Below are 16509 nucleotides of genomic sequence, written 5' to 3'. Positions count from 1 at the left end.
CTGAACCAGGTTTCTTACCACCTTCCTGAACAGCAGGTCTATGCTGTGTTGCCCCCACTGCCAGTGTCTTACTGCAGAGTGAAGGTGAAAGTGACTGTAATGAGAAAAGACTGCTTCAAAAGTGAGAAGAAGGGAGCCAAGGTATTTGTTCACAGATCAGTTTTTAATTCTAAAGGGGTTGATCTGTTTATTACAGTAATAAGAATAAGAAAAGGAAAATAATTTTATTTGATTTTTATTCCTTTTTTTTATATCTATCAATGTCCCTTTTAGTATACTCATGTGGCTGACTGAATTATGGTTATAGGCCAGTCCTACTAGGTTTTTTTGTTTGTTTGTTTGTTTGTTTGTGGTTTTTTTTTTTTTTTTTTTTAGATGGAGTTTTGCTCTTGTTGCCCAGCCTGGAGTGCAGTGGTGGGATCTCAGCTCAATGCAACCTCTGCTTCCAGATTCAAGTGATTCACCTGCCTCAGCCTCCCAAGTAGCTGGGACTACAGGCGCATGCCACCACACCCAGCTAATTTTTCGTATTTTTAGTAGAGATGGGGTTTCATCGTGTTGGCCAGGCTGGTCTTGAACTCCTGACCTCGGGTGATCTGCCCACCTTGGCCTCCCAAAGTGCTGGGATTACAGGTGTGAGCCACCATGCCTGGCCTGATCCTACAAGTTTTATAAAATCTGTTTAAGGGGTTGATATTAAGGTTATGCTGACCTCATAAGAGGAATTTCTGAAGAGTTTAAGATAGGTGTTATTTTTTCCATAAATGCTTGTTAGAATTCACCAATGAAACCATCTGATCTGGAATTGTGTCTACCTTTCTTCCTTCCTTTTTTAATAAGTTCAATTTCTTTAATAGACAAAAAAGGCTGTTCAGATTTTCTGTTTAATTTTGTGTCAAATTTGTTGGCATAAAATTGTAATATTCTCTTATTGGCCTTTAAATATCTATAGGATTAATAGTGCCACTTATTCGTTCCTGATAATTTGATATACTGATAATTTGTACTGTCTTTTCTTCCAATCAGTTTAGCTAAGTTTGTCAATTCTGCAGATGTTTTCAAATGATCAATTTTCTTATTTTATTAACTTTTCCATGGTTTATTTTGTATTTCATTGATTTCTATTTTTATCTTTATTGTTTCTTTTCTTATACTGATTTACGTTTAATTTACCCTTCTTTTTCTAGCTTCTTAAGGTAAAACTTAAGTCATTAGTTTTAGACAATTTTATGTTTCTAATACAAGCATCTGTATCTCTTAAATTTCTTTCTAAAAAATGTGTTAGCTGCATCCCGTAAATTTTAAAATATTAAATTTTCAGTATCTTTCCTTTCAAAGTATATTCTAATTTCCCTTGTGATTTCTTTTTGGACCCATGGATTATTTTTTTAATTTTAATTTTTTAATTTTAATTTCCAAATATTTGAGATTTTCCTAGATATCTAATTGTTACTAATTTCTAATTTAATTCCATATGAATAGAGAGCATACTCTGTGTGATTTTAATTCTATTAAATTTATTGATACTTGTTCTATGGGTGAACATATGGTCAATCTTGATGAATGTATTATGTGCACTTGAAAACAGTATGCATTCTGCAGATGTTGAGTATAATGTTCTGTAGCTATCAGTTAGGTCAAGGTGGTTGAGAGTGTTGTTGAAATCATCATCTATGTGTCTAGTCATTGGCGGGGGCAGGGAGCTAGTGTTCTATCAATTGCTAAGGCAGGCATTCAAATATTTATATGTGATTATAAGATTGTCTTTTTAATTGCTAAGAGACGTTCAAATATCCATAATTGTTAAGATTATCTTTTTTTCATTATATTCTGTCCGTTTTTGCCTTATATATTTTGAAACTCTTCTTAGGTGCATACACATTTATGTCTGTTATATTTTCCAGAGCAGTTGGCTTATTTTGCATTATGAAATATCTCTTTTTATCTCTGGCAATATGATCTTGAAGTCTGATATTAATATAGCCCCTCTAGCATTCTCATGCTTACTGTATTCGTAGTATGTATTTGTTCCATCCATTTGCTTTCAACTTCTCTTTATTGTTAATGTGTATCTCTTATAGACATCATATAGTTGGAGCTTCCATTTTTATTCATTCTGACAATCTTTCTTTTAATTAGTGTTCAGTACATTATAATGTGATGTAATTATTAATGTGGTTAGATTTAGGCCTCCCATGTCTTTGCTATTTGCCTCATTTTTTTGAGTCATTTCTTCCTTTTCTTCCCCCTTTTGGACTTTCTGAATCGTTTTTATAATTCCATTATCATTTATTTGTAGGCATTTCAGCTATATCCCTTTGCCTTATTATTTTAGTGGTTGTTGTAGGGATTTTAATATATATAATTAACTTTCACAGTCTCCTTAGAGTTAATATCTTACCACTTTATTTTTATTAAATGTAGACACTTTGTAACCATATGTCAATCTGTGATATAGATTTCATATGTATTATGTCTACATAGGTAATAAACCCCATAAGATAATGCTATAATTTTTTGCTCTAAGTAATCATACATTTGTTAAAGAAATTAAAAAGAAAAATAATTATTTAATGTATACTAGATATTTACTGTTTATGTTGCTCTTAATTCTTCCCTGAAGACCCAAGCTTTCATCTGGTCTAATATCCCATCAGTCTGAAGAAGAACTCTTTATAGTTCAGTTCTGCTAAAGATAAATTCTCTTAGTTTTTCTTATATGGAAATATTTTAATTTCACCTTCCTTCTTGAAGGATATTCTTTATTGGATATAAAATTATAGGTTGACAGATTTCTGTAGTATTTTAATACCTTAAAGGCATTAGTCTGCTGTCTTCTGAGATCTATTGACTCTAGTGAGAAGACAGAAATCATTCAAATCATTGTTTTGCTCTGTGTAATATGCTTTTATGAGTTTGGGGTTTGTTTTTGTTTTCTATTTGGGGAGAGGTTTTTTGTTTTGTTTTTTCCTGCTTTTAAAATGTTCCCTTTGTATTGCTTTTGAACTATTTGACTAGGATATGCTTATGTGGTTTTCTTATACTTTTCCTTCTTGGAGTTTGCGAGATTCATGAGTCTGTAGAGTTGTATCTTTCACTAAATTTGGGACATTTTGCCATTATTTTTTAAACTATTATTTTTTCCCGTTTTCTTTCTCACATTAAAACTACAGTTACCCATGTGTTGATATTATCCTACTGGTTATTGAGGCTCTGTTCATTTCTCTTGAGTTATTTCTATTAGTCTATTTTCACATTCATTGACTTTTTCCTTTATCATATTCATTAAGGTGTTAAGCCCATACAGGGATTATTTTATTTCAAAAATTATAATTTTCAGTTTAAGAATTTCCATTTGATACCCTTTTATAGGCTATTTTTCCTCTTTTGTGATTTCCTATGTTTTCATTCATGAAGAATATATTTTCCTTTATATCATTAAGCATAGTTATAATAGCTGCTTTAAAATCCTTGGATGCTAGTTCTAACATCTAAGTTAATTGTCTTTTCTGTTAAAAATAGGTCACATTGTCTATTTTCTTTGTAAATTGTATCTTGGACATTGTAAGTGTTGTGTTGTGGATACGATGGATTCTGATACATTCTTCCAGAGGAGGCTGATATTTTTGTTTTAGCAGACAGGTACCTCTATTGAACTCAGACTGCAAACCATCATTTGGACCGCAGCTCAAATGTCAGCACTCTCTCTATTTATACAGAGAGAGAGAGTGAGGGAAAACACTAGAAAGGAAAGAGCTTGGTAGAGATGGGGAAACACATACTGTATACAAACTCTTCATAAATCCCTGACCAAATTCTGAACCATACAAGAGCAGGACTGACTGGAAGCAATCTAATTAAGGATGTGTGTATGTGTGTGTGTGTGTGTGTGTGTGTGTGTATATATATGTGTGTGTGTGTGTATGTATATATATATGTGTGTGTGTGTATGTATATATATGTGTGTGTGTATATATATATACATATATATACATATATACATATATATGTGTATATATACGTATATATATACATAGATATACGTATATATACACATATATATATACGTATATATATATATATACGTATATATATATGTAACAGATTTTCCCCTTACTTTCCAGTGGCTATGCTTGCCCCAAATTATGTTTTCTAGTTCTTCAAGTCAGACATAACTGAAGCTTTCTATTGGAGTACTGACATCCACATGCGTATAAAATATGTTTTTTTTAAAAAGGAGGAAATTCATCTTGTGTTATTCCCTTCTTCATCCAAGTGTTGACTCTCCAGACTCTGCCTGCTTTTATTCACATGCTAATGCCTTCAGGTTGATGATTGTTTGTCTTTTGTCTGAAATTTATAGTAGTTATCTGCAAGAGGTTTGCTCTAGTAGGAGTTTATTCTGCCAATCCAAGTGGCACTCCCATTCCACAAGGTTTAGTGTGTAGGGTGATCCTAGAGAATGTGGAGATTTAATGTACTCTAAATATAATTTTAAACCATGTTTAAGGGGTTACCTTTTGTTAGTTTTTGTAGTTTGTTTATTTTTAAATAAACTGATTCCCAGAATGGCCCTCAGTTGGAGTCTCACTCAACCCCAATGCAACCCATTATCTAAATCTAACCACCACCTTCCAAAGAACCCACTTTCTCATTCTAACCCACCTTCTCCAATCAACTCCTTGTCTTTTTCTCACCCTGGATTCTATTCCAATGGCAGTTCAGATTGCCCCTGATCATTTAGCACAGCTTCTGGGTAGGGCCACTGATAAGAGCATTTTCTTCTTCCTGGAGTGCCTAAAACTCTTAGCAGCTGAGTTCTACAGTGCTCCAGTGCCACAGGAGAATACCATCACAACAGATCGCTTCAGTCACCCATTGTTCTTGAGCCACCCTGGTCACTGAAAGTTCCAGAATAAAAATGTCATTTTATTCAAATATTTGGTCTTTTTACCACCTTAACCCTAAGTGCTTATCTCTATTAATATACTGCTTTGAATATTAGGTTGTCTAGGCCAGGATAGCTAGAGCATTATTGAGGTTTTCCTGGCGGAGAAATTGAGGTCAAGCTCTTTGTAAACTCACTGGAGTCAGGCCCTGCCTCAAAGCAAGCTGTGGCTGAATAGACAACCAGCCTTGAGCAACCTCAACTCCCTCAAAACCCACTCCCCTGAGGAAGACAGGAGATTGGGGCTTGAACATTCATCACTGAATGACTTTTTTGTTAGTAATTTAGTAACTCTGTTTTCTTAAGTATGTAATGGAGACTGTAATACACAGAACACAACTGCTTCACAGGAATGTAATGTGAATTCATGATATGAGAATGGGAAGCATTATAAGTTACTGAGAAGACAAATCTAAACATGCATGTTACTTTTATTTATTATTTAGAGAGTCTTTACTATATAATACTTTATGAACAGAAAAGCCCATGATTCATGCCCTGCCATAGGTATAAGAACCAGCTAATGAAAAGTGCCATTGATTTTCTTTTTCTGTTTTTTTTTATTCGTTAAATTTAAAGGGGAAAAGAGATACATTAAATTCCAATTCTAATAATAGCCCCCAATGGGGACTAAGTGGCTAAGACAATGGGAAAAAAGACCTTTCAGCAGTAGGATTTGCTTTGAGCCTAAATGAAGTCTGCCATGATCGTATTATTTAGTGAAATGAAATCATGGAAAGAAGTTGATGACTTCTGGTCAGCCCTCAAAGAATAAGTGTCAGATCCCCAAATTATGTCCACGGTAGTAATTAAGCTTCACTCTCTGCAGAGAGCCCTCAGTGACTTAAGAGGCAGTGCTTTTGAGAATCCCAGACTATAGATTTCCAGTTATTCAAGTAACAAATGGATGCCTTCACTGTCTTTTCTACTCCCTTCCATTGGCATAGAAAGGGACCCTGAATTCAGCTTTTGTGTGTTAATAGGACACCATTAGAAAACAGCAAATTTATAAAGGAAAACAATATTCATAGGAAAAAAAATAAAACAAGAATTTACAAAAGGAATATTAGCAAAGAACAATAAACTACGTTGCACATACATTTTCTGAAGCAGGAGCTGACACTTTTAATGAAAACTTCTGTGACATCCTTGAGGCATTTCTGAAGAACCAGAGTACTTGTAATTAATTGTATTAATCACAAAGACTAAATTTATCCTTAGCTTCTATAGTGTGTTAAGGATAGAGATGTTTACCCAAGAAGAAAGCTAACATGGCATTCTCCTATGCGGATGTAATTTTCACTTGACAGAGTGAGTATTTGTGTGGTAGGTGTTTGCTTTTCATTTACCCACTTAGAGTTTTTTCATCCTTTTGGAAATTTATTGATTTATTTCGTGGAGTGCAGAGAGGAGGAAAAGAAAAGGACTATGATTTGTGACAAGTGTACTTCCTGAGTGAAATACTTATTTATCCTGCCCACTATGCTATTCTCTCCATCATCTCTTATCAGTTAGTCTTTGTATATTATAAACCAGAAATCTAAGACCTCATTAACCTCACAATTTGTCAACAAATTATAACAGCTGTAATTTTTAAAAATATAGACCTCAGTTTTCCCCAATTTGACCTCTAAAGAATTGCATTTTGACCACTCCTATCAAAAATATGGAGTAGGGGGAAATTTGTAATCTCTTGGTATAAAAATGACATCCTCTTTTCCACCAGTATTGCAGCATTGGAAAGCAGGCATGAAAGGTTTGCACTGTGGATATCTATATCCCATCTTGCCAAAGGATAAATAAAGGGCATTCATTCATCAGCTTTCAAGCTGCCACCCTCTTTTCTTTCCCCCAACCCCCACCCCTCCCTGAAATTGGGAGGAGGGAGATTCTGATTATTTTTGCCTATTTCTAGCAGAGCTAGGCATGAACAATTAAATTTAGGGCTTCCCTGTGGTCTGTGAATAACAGTGCACAGTGCTAACCATGAGGGCACAAGGCAGAAAACAAAAAAAAAAGGCTTTTTTATTTTTTGTTTACCCTTCAGGACACTGTTTACCTTATCACTGAAGGGAAAGTTATCATCTCATCTTTTTAGGAAATTGTACTGGGTTTATTCTCTAGTTTCCAGTCTCAAACTGTCCAGTGATAGAGTGAGTATGTCAGCCTGGGGCTAGAAGATTTCTGTAAGGCCCTGCTCTCTCCCCCGTCTCTGTGTGTGTGTGTGTGTGTGTGTGTGTGTGTGTCCGTCCGTCCTTCGGTCTGCCTGCCTGTCTGTCTGTCTCAGGCATTTGCTGTCTCTAGCACACTCCCACTTCCTCGTTCTCTCCACGCTATCTCATTCCCTTTTCCTTGATTTTTCTGTCAAACCTTTTTCTTTTTCTGCCTTTCAACCAGAATGATTTTTTCCCTTTTCTCCCTCTCTAAATTTACTTCACAGCAGATTGTCTTGTAGTAAATCACCAAAAACCTAAATAGCACTAAAGCATTCTGATACAACATTAGCATTTGCTTAACAAGCACAAGATAAACATTAAACAAAGAACTGCATTTCTTTATTAGAGGCTGCAAGATACATAATCCATGAGCACAAGAAACATGGGACCCAGTGGATATGCAGATGTGTGTTATTTCATTGGCGCTGGGCGGCCTTGTTAGAAAAGGTTTTCATCTGAAGGCTTGGGGGTGGATGGTTGACTGTCCCTGGTGGGGCTGTAACTAGATACAGAGACTGTTGCAAGCTAGGCTGGGCTCCCTGGTGGACCTGCTGATTGGACAGCCTGAGGAAAACTTGGGAAGCATCGGGAAGTGAACTCAATCACCTTGGGGATGATAGGGTAGAGCCAGATGAAGGCATTTGACTTCTTTTGTAACTCCCACTAAGGACAGATTGCCAGTGCGATCCAGCCTCCATAACTGCAAATCAGGCCCTTTCCCCTATGCCGATTTCATTAGAATGGCCAGCATGGTGCAAAGAGGAAAAAAAAAAAGGTTAGACACAGTAATTTTACAGGCAGGCGGGTACAAAAAAAATCTGCATAATTAAGCAGTCAAGGCTGCTAATAGGGGAGTTTATATGCTCTGGGACCAGGCAAGGGCAGCACATATGGATATAGCACTGGATATTAAATCTACGGCATGCAGACTTACTTCAGGGCCCTCAGAGAAAAGGCTAATTATAGAGAGAGGAATTGTGTTTACTGGTCTGTCTTGGGCAAAGATGGTGAAAGAAGTGCAACCAAGTTTTGCAGTTAGACACGAACAGGCTGTTAATAGAGATATCAAAATATGTGCTTGTGGTTGTTTCCTACCTAATCAACTCAAAATTATAGATTCTATGGACTCTGCCCCCCCGCACCCCACATTCCCTACTACAGACAAAATGCTTGGAGTCAAGGTTCATACATTAAGTGTATGCAGAATGGCAAGATGCGCTGGATGGGAGTGTGTTTATTATTAAATTGCCACAATTTAATCTCAGCTGTGCTCTTTATCATCAATAAATTTTATTTAGCAGTTTAGCTAGCCCTGTTTAAAAATGTCAGTGCTTCTGGGCATGAGCTCAGAGTCAGCACTTAAATATAAATGGTGAATTTGAGTGGAAGTTGTAGTGGGCAGGGGTACGCCTTTCTAGAAAGGGTGTGTTTCTGGAAGGGGCCCTGATGGGATGAACATTAACATTTCATAATGCAGATCAAAGGTAAAGAGAAAACCCGAAGGCCCCTTTGTCACGGGCCCCTAGCGACTGCCTCATACATGAGCTGAGATGATATCTGGATATTATTAAAGAGATTCATTTCATATTTGTATGTATGTATGCAGATATGTATGCATGCACTTATTTATTTATTTAACTCCATACAAAGAACATTTTCTGAAGAGGACAGGAGAGTAGGCCATTTGCCCCAGGCTGAATGTGCCAAAGCATGCCTGGTTGTTTCAGAGGACTGGAGCCTCCTGCAGATTTGGTTTCCAGAGAAGCAGTCTGGACCCTTTGTCCTTTAGGGAAGCTTCCCACGGAAAACAGCAGCCCTCTCCTCATAGTGATCTGCGGCTGTGGGCACAGGCCATTTGTGAGCTTGTTGTGCATTCCATTACTCCGCCACGCCGAGGAGGGCCAGAGAAGAATCCCACTGCCTCGTCTCAAGATGCAGTAAAACCTCGGGCTTATGAAAGTAAACAGCATCTGATCAGCCAGATACTGGGTCAGGCTTGCCTGACATCTGTGCTCTTCTTAGAGGCAGGGAATTCAGTGCTAATGAGAAGACTCGAGCCTGTGCCTTGGAAATTGAGAGTTGCAAAGGCTAATGAATGGGCAGTTTAGCCCCTTAAAAAGAAGGAAAGCATCACATTGGCACACAGGGTGTTGTGCACCTCTTCCTTGTCTGCACATTGTTCACTGACTGACCAGGGGTGTCAGCTTTACTTGAGAACAGCTGGTCAGATATTATGTAGCAGTTGGCAAAGAGGGTAAAGTTCTTGAGAGACTAGTATGATGCAAACACCCAACGCAGATATTTCATACTGAATTTTTAAAATGTATTTTTCCCTAGTAACTATTAAGTTAATTGAGCCTTTAAAATCACATGAGTCCTCAGAATTTTCGTTAAACACAATGACTTCTAATATCGTCTGGTTTCTAGAGGTTACAATGAGGTAGCACTCTAAAGAAATTGTGATTGCCCATAGATTAGTAAGGACAGTGTGGGACAAGTGGAATGCAGTAGCATTGAAGTGCTTATTCAGACCATTCTTTTAATCTCATTCTTAAAATGTAAAATAAAGAAAACTTTGCAGGGAAGGCCAAGTAGAGGTCAGCACCTGGAAAATGGTAGCAGCCAAATGTAGACTGCCTAGGGAGGAAGCTGGGCACCGTTTTTCTGCTTGTCGAGAAAATAGAACACTAGCAGGCAGTAAGGAGGCCCTGCTAAATAAAAGGAAAATAGGCCAGGTGTGGTGGCTCACGCCTGTAATTCCAGCACTTCGGGAGGCTGAGGAGGGTGGAACACTTAAGGCCAGGAGTTCGAGACCAGCCTGGCCAACATGGTGAAACCCCATCTCTACTAAAAATACAAAAATTAGCCAGGCGTGGTGGCGGGTGCCTGTAGTCCCAGCTACTCTGTAGGCTGAGGTAGGAGAATCACTTGAACCTGGGAGGTGGAGGAGGTTGTAGTGAGCTAAGATTGTACCCTGCACTCCAGCCTGGGTGACAGAGCAAGACTCTCTCTCAAAAAAAAAGGAGGGGGAAATGTTATTTTTTAGATAGAAATAAATACAGGAGACAGTGCTTCTATATTTGAAACACACAATTTTTTTTTTTTTTACTTTTGGGCTAGTCAAAAGTAAGATAGCTGGGCAAGAAGCCTGTCACAAGTAAAGGAATGGTGTGAATTTGAAAAGATCTCTTTGACGACATATTGAATTATTTGAGGATACAAAGAAGAATCAACCATGTGCTTCTACCTCGTTCATGGGTGGACTTGAAATCCCTTATAACCCTGCGGCTTCACCAAAGCTGTCTCTTCCCTCCCTCTCTCATTCTCTCCCTCTTTTTCTTTCTTTTTTGGTCTCCTGCCTTCCATTCATTCAGTCAACAACAACAAAAACCATATAAAACAAAACCCCACACTTTTGGGATTTTGGATCAGGCAGGATGCAAGGGGGCAGGCAGGACCCAAGGCGCAGGCCCACCTCTCCTCACCTCCTCAGTCCCGCTGATAGCATTCTGCTGAGCGGACTCGGTGTTTCAGCCCTTACAGCCATTGCCTCAGTTTTACCTCCCAGATCCTGCAAGACCCACCACTGCTTTGGGGCAGCTGACAGAACTGACTGTAGATGGGAAACCCACTTTGATAAAACTCTGCTGTCTCCTGTCTTTCTCCTGTCTAAACACACTCCTGGAAGCAGGGTCCCTTTCTGCCCCACAGCCTATGGCTTCTTCTCCCTTTTCTTCCTTCTCTGTTTTTCCTATATGGAGGAGAAGAGGAAGAATATAGAAGAAGAAAATCAATATAAGAATTATAAAGATTAAAAACACTTGGTATAGTTCAAACTAAATACAAAACAGCTTTGGCACAGCAGAAGAAATAATCAACAGGATAAACAGACAATCTTCAGAATGGGAGAAAATGTTTGCAAATTGTGCCGCCAACAGAGGACTGATATCCAGATTCCACAATGATCTCAAACAGCACAACAAGAAAAAAACAAACAATTCCATTAAAAAGTGGGCAAAGGACATGAGCAGACATTCCTCAAAAGAAGACATACAAGTGGCCAGGAAACATGCAAAAATGCTCAACATCACTAATCATCAGAGAAATGCAAACTAAAACCACAATGAGGTATCATCTTACACCAGTCAGAACGGTATTATTAGAAAGTCAAAAAGCAACATATGTTGTCAAGGATGCAGAGAAAAGGGAACACTTATATACTGTTGGTGAGAATGTAAATTAGTACGACCTCTATGAAAAACAGTTGGGAGATTTCTCAAATAATTAAAAATAAAACTACCATTCCACCCAGCAATCCCACTACTGGGCTTCTACCCAAAGGAGAAGAAATCATATAAAAAGACACCTGCGTACCTGTGTTATTGCAGCACTAGTCACAGTGGCAAAGCAATGGAATCAACCTAAATGCCCATCAATGGATGATTGGATAAAGAAAATGAAGTACATTTATACCATGGAATACTATGCAGCCATAAAAAAGAATGAAGTCGTGTCCTTTGCAGCAACATGGATAGAGCTGGAGACCATTATCCTAAGTGAACTAACTCAGAAAATCAAATTACCACATATTCTCACTTATAAGTGGGAACTAAACAATGGATACACATGGACATAAAGATGGAAATAATAGAAACTGGGAACTCCAAAGTGGGGGAGGGTTGGGGGCGTGAGGGTTAAAAAAATACCTATTGAGTACAGTGTTCACTATTTGGGTGATGGGTACACTGAACGGACATCCAGATCTCACCATTATGCAATATATTCATGTAACAAACCTGCACATGTACCCTCTGAATCTAAAATTTAAAAATTAAATTAAAATCAAATAAATTAATTTTTAAAATCTAGCCAGGTGCAGTGGCTCACACCTGTAATCCCAGCACTTTGGGAGGCTGAGGTGGGTGGATCACTTGAGGTCAGGAGTTTGAGACCATCCTGGCTACTATGGCGAAACCCCATCTCTACTAAAAATATAAAAATTAGCTGGGCATGGTGACACACGCCTGTAGTCCCAGCTACTCAGGAGGCTGAGGCAGGAGAATCACTTGAACCAGGGAGGCGGAGATGGCAGTGAGCCAAGATCGAGCCACTGCACTCCAACCTGGGCAACAGAGTGAGACTCTGTCTCAGAAAAAGAAATATCAAATTTCTAACCATAGCTCTATTGTATTTGGTAACTGGAAATTCCCCCTGCTTATTTTTTTCATAGTTTGCAGCTATGGGAAACAGGTTTTAAAATGGAATAAGAACTATGAATTCCAATATCTATTATTACTAAAATTGCCAAAATGATAAAACACTAAAATGGTAATTGTAAAAGCAGTAAAAAGATAAGACAAAAACATGAAAAAAAAGAAAAACTTATACCATATATGTTACATCTTCAAAGTTGTTTGTGTAACCCCAAAAACAACTTTTAAAATTATATATCTCCTCATGCTTTTAATTTGGCACCTATAAAAATTTTTTAATCATAAATTAAGTCATTGAAAAAATGCAATTTTCAGTGCACTGTATATTGCATATACTTTAAGTATATTTTTATCATTAACATTTATCTCATTCAATTGGATGAGATACTTGCCATGTAATTTAAAGGACAAAGCCAGTCTTCACTGTCAAAGTCATAAGCCAAAACAAACTTACACTTAATGTCAGAAAAAGTCTGACTTTGACTTGAAAATGAAAGTGTTAATATGCATTCCTGTGACAATAATCTCACTTCTAAATTCTAGCTCTAAGAGAGATGGAGAAGGCACAAGCCTTGTGAGTCTCCCACCTGGATGAAAAAGGCACTGCCCTCTTCAGCATGTTGTACCATGACAAATTTTGCTTTCACCCTTGCGGATCTATTCCACAGCAGGTATCCAGTTTTTGAATCCCCCAGAAGATTTTTGCAGCCCAGGACAAAACATGAGTAAGATTGAGAAAGGGCAGGAAGTACTCCCACATTTTGTACAATAGGACAAGGTTAAGTATAAGGAGAGGCGAGATAGGGGAACCAGCAGACCACAGGCTGCTTGCAGGCAGATCAGTTTTAGGAAAGAGTCCATGTGGAGTTTTAACACTGAAAATCAGTTCCCTCTGAATTATTACCGCAGTCTGCATACTTCTTTGAAAGCCTCTATGTACACTCAGGTTGTGCATTCACAGTTTAGTGGTACACATAGCTGCCTTCCATGTATACCCAGCTTGAAGACTCTTGGAGTGTTCTAAATATTATTTAAAAACTCAAAGAAAATATTTACAAGGATGAATATGATAACTTCCATTTCTGATTATATAAATGACTAGATATTCAGAGAAAGTCTTCCAGTATAGATCTAAAAATTATGCATCAAAACTGTTTAATCTTTTAAAATAACTGGCTGAAGTGTTGGGAAAACAGAGTAAGATCTGTATCCTAGATAATAAGAAAGTAAAAATGCTGAGTGTTAAAAGATATTTCAACAAAGGAACAAACATTTGTTTCATTCTTAATAACAAGAATAACTCACATTTACTGAGTAGTTACCATAGGCCAAGTATTATGCTAGATACTTTATATATGTTATTTTGATTGAGTCTCACTTCTACAGTCCCACAACATAGGTACTTGATATTCCCATTTAATAGATGATTTGACGAAGGCAAGGATTAATAACCTATGTGAAATGGCTCAGCTTGTTAGTGGCAGGGTTGGGCATCCCACCCGCTAAGTGATCCCAAAGCCTTTGTTTTTTGAACCTCTCCACCATGTCGCATGGGAAGAAAGGCTTTGGGGATGATGCCTGTGCTGATTTCTATAAATACTGTCTCTTCTGTACACTATAGTGTAAGTTACTTTACATCTGTAGTAGAGGTCTGTGTTTGCTAACATACCAGGCCTAGTACATGCCTTGTATACCAAGAATTTCCCTCCCACTGTGGAAGCAACTTTTGTGACAGTAGAAAAGATGACAGATTATAAAACTGGACTCACTAGTAATGATCTGCTTACTAACCAAGCTCAAACCCTATGTTAAAATAAGAGGATTTTAAAATATATATATTTTAAAAGATGTAGTGGGTGACTATTCAGTATCTGAGCATTCATCAGAAATTAATATTTAAGCAACACACAAGCAGGCTTAATTGCATTCGTGACCTGCTTTCTTATATATTGGGGAGGGTGGAGATGAAAATGGAGAACACACAGTAGAAGCATTTTACTGCCAGAGTAGAACTTTACAATCGCACCAGGGGACCTTTTGGTAATGTTTGTAATGTGCTGCTATTGTGATTTAGGAAAGAAAAATGCTACTGCTGGGCTTTATTTTCAACGGATTTTTTTTTAAACATCAATTAATGCAATCAAATGTAGTACAGGGAAATCTAACTTTTTATTTACATTTCTGGGGGCCGGGAGGGTTTGTTTGTTTTTGTTAACCCCAATCATTTGAGCTGTACAGTATATGGTTTTCCTGGTATTTTCCAAATCAACTCAGTAAGTGATATTTAGCAGTATATGTGAAACTCTCCACATGAGGAAGAGAAAACAACCTTGTAACGGGTACCATTTGTTGGGAAACAAATGATTCTGTCTTGTTTCATACAGTTTGAAAATAATGACATTTTGGATTTTCAAACAGTTTGTTAATAAAATGAATCATATCAGTTTTCTCACCCATAAGAGCAAAATTGAAATAGGTTATTTCTTCATGAATTAGTCAGATTTTTTAATGCCAAGTTTTAAATTAAATCTTGATAAATTCAGAAACAACAACAACAACAACAAAACGAATACCACATTTTTGGCCTTAATGAAACCTTAAAAGGGCCCTAAAATAAACCATCAAAATAACCAGAAAGGCCCAAGCTGAAAGTATATTTTTCTAATTTTCTCTTTATTGCTGTTCACTGCCTTAACTAAACATACGTTATCAACACAAGTAGATGGATGATCTCCTATCTTCCTGGGCATAGGGACCCAGTAAACTAAGCATCATACACGATTTAACTAAAAATTTGCTCCGATACTGAAATTTAGTTGTTTTCTTTTCTCTAATCTGGAATCTAAATCCATATTTGAGCCAGGCTCTCAGTAACTACCCATATCACTTCAAGCAAATCAGTAAAGCTCTTCCTAGGACTTGAGTTACCTGGAGAAATTTGTGTTATTGAGCAGATTAATTGAGAATGGATGTATATAAACCCACACCCACACATTTTGAAAATTGTAAAGGGCTATATAAATACAGTAGTTATTATATTTATAATCATCCTCAGAGATAAGGGGAGGAGAATGTACCATTGTTATAATCTTAGCAACAATAAGAGTCTCATTTTTATGGGGCCTTCGACATGCCCATGAGTTTGACTTGTGTAGACACTTCCTTCAACATCTTGTGCTTAAAAGTCAAGTTGGCCTAAGCACAAAGTCTGATATTTTGCAGAAGATGAGATCATATTTAGACCTACTCGGGTGAATTAAGGCCATAGTGATTACTTTGATTTGGAATTTCCCTGCTGTTATCAGTTTAAGATAGAATTTCTAATATTCATTTCAAAAGAGAGATGCCTAGATTCTAGGTCCTGTGTGTCACTGGTTGCATTCTTCCCCTTCCTCTCGATGTTCCCTTTGGAGACGTGTCTAGCTGAATTGTGAGTATCTGGTAGAGGAAGAAGAAGATTCAGACTGAACTACATGAGCCAGAATGCCAGTCTGTCTCTTCATCAATCCCATGCTGTCCTATTGAGAGAGCAATAGTTATGTCTAATTCTTTGAGAATTATTTTATTTTTAATTCTTTAAAATAGCCCAGGGCAAAATTTAATTAAGAAAACATCTCTTCCCGTCCCAGAGAAAAAAAATTATTTTGCCTGGGCATTTTTCTCTAAATATAAGTATCTATGCATGCTGAATTATTGCAATTGGCTGAAAATATGCTGAAATTATGTATTCACTTTTTTATTTTCTGCACATTCATACCATGCTAATCTCTATTTACCCACTCTTGTTTCAATTTCTGAACTGTCTTTTCTCCTGTATTCTGAGATGAGAACTTTTGTTACTGGTTCAGATCAGACCCTACGTCTCCTGTTTTACGCAACAATTACAGTTCCACAAAATTATATAAAGGTATTCGCTTTTCTCCAGATTGTCAAATTTAAAAATCCTCATGCTAATCTTTGTCTTTAAGGAACCAAACATTGCTACTGCTTTCCAGAAGCAAAGAAAAGGGCAAGAGGCCAGGTCATCCCTATAGGTCACTTTCTGTCCTGGACTTTTATGATTTCTTTACCAAGAATGAAACCAATAAGTGAGCTAAATATGACTTGCTTTCAGAAAGGAAATAAACTTTAC

At 37.2% G+C, this 16509-nt stretch overlaps 1 protein-coding gene across 9 annotated transcripts in view, besides 1 other annotated feature; it reads left to right on the top strand.

Moving 5' to 3' along the window:
- Window positions 1-16509, top strand: part of ZNF521 (zinc finger protein 521) — a 290243-nt gene that overhangs the window by 231211 nt on the left and 42523 nt on the right. The window lies entirely within an intron of this gene.
- Window positions 7280-8504: an enhancer, noted in NCBI's record as "VISTA enhancer hs367". NCBI's record gives its function as "enhancer in: midbrain (mesencephalon)[3/10] | limb[3/10]" and the evidence as "EXISTENCE:transgenic organism evidence [ECO:0001131][PMID:17130149]".

Source organism: Homo sapiens, chromosome 18 (genome assembly GCF_000001405.40).
Source record: "Homo sapiens chromosome 18, GRCh38.p14 Primary Assembly".
NCBI classification, from domain to species: Eukaryota; Metazoa; Chordata; class Mammalia; order Primates; family Hominidae; genus Homo; species Homo sapiens.
The sequence above is the reverse complement of the archived record's forward strand: the minus strand, read 5'-3'. Positions and strand labels throughout refer to the sequence as shown.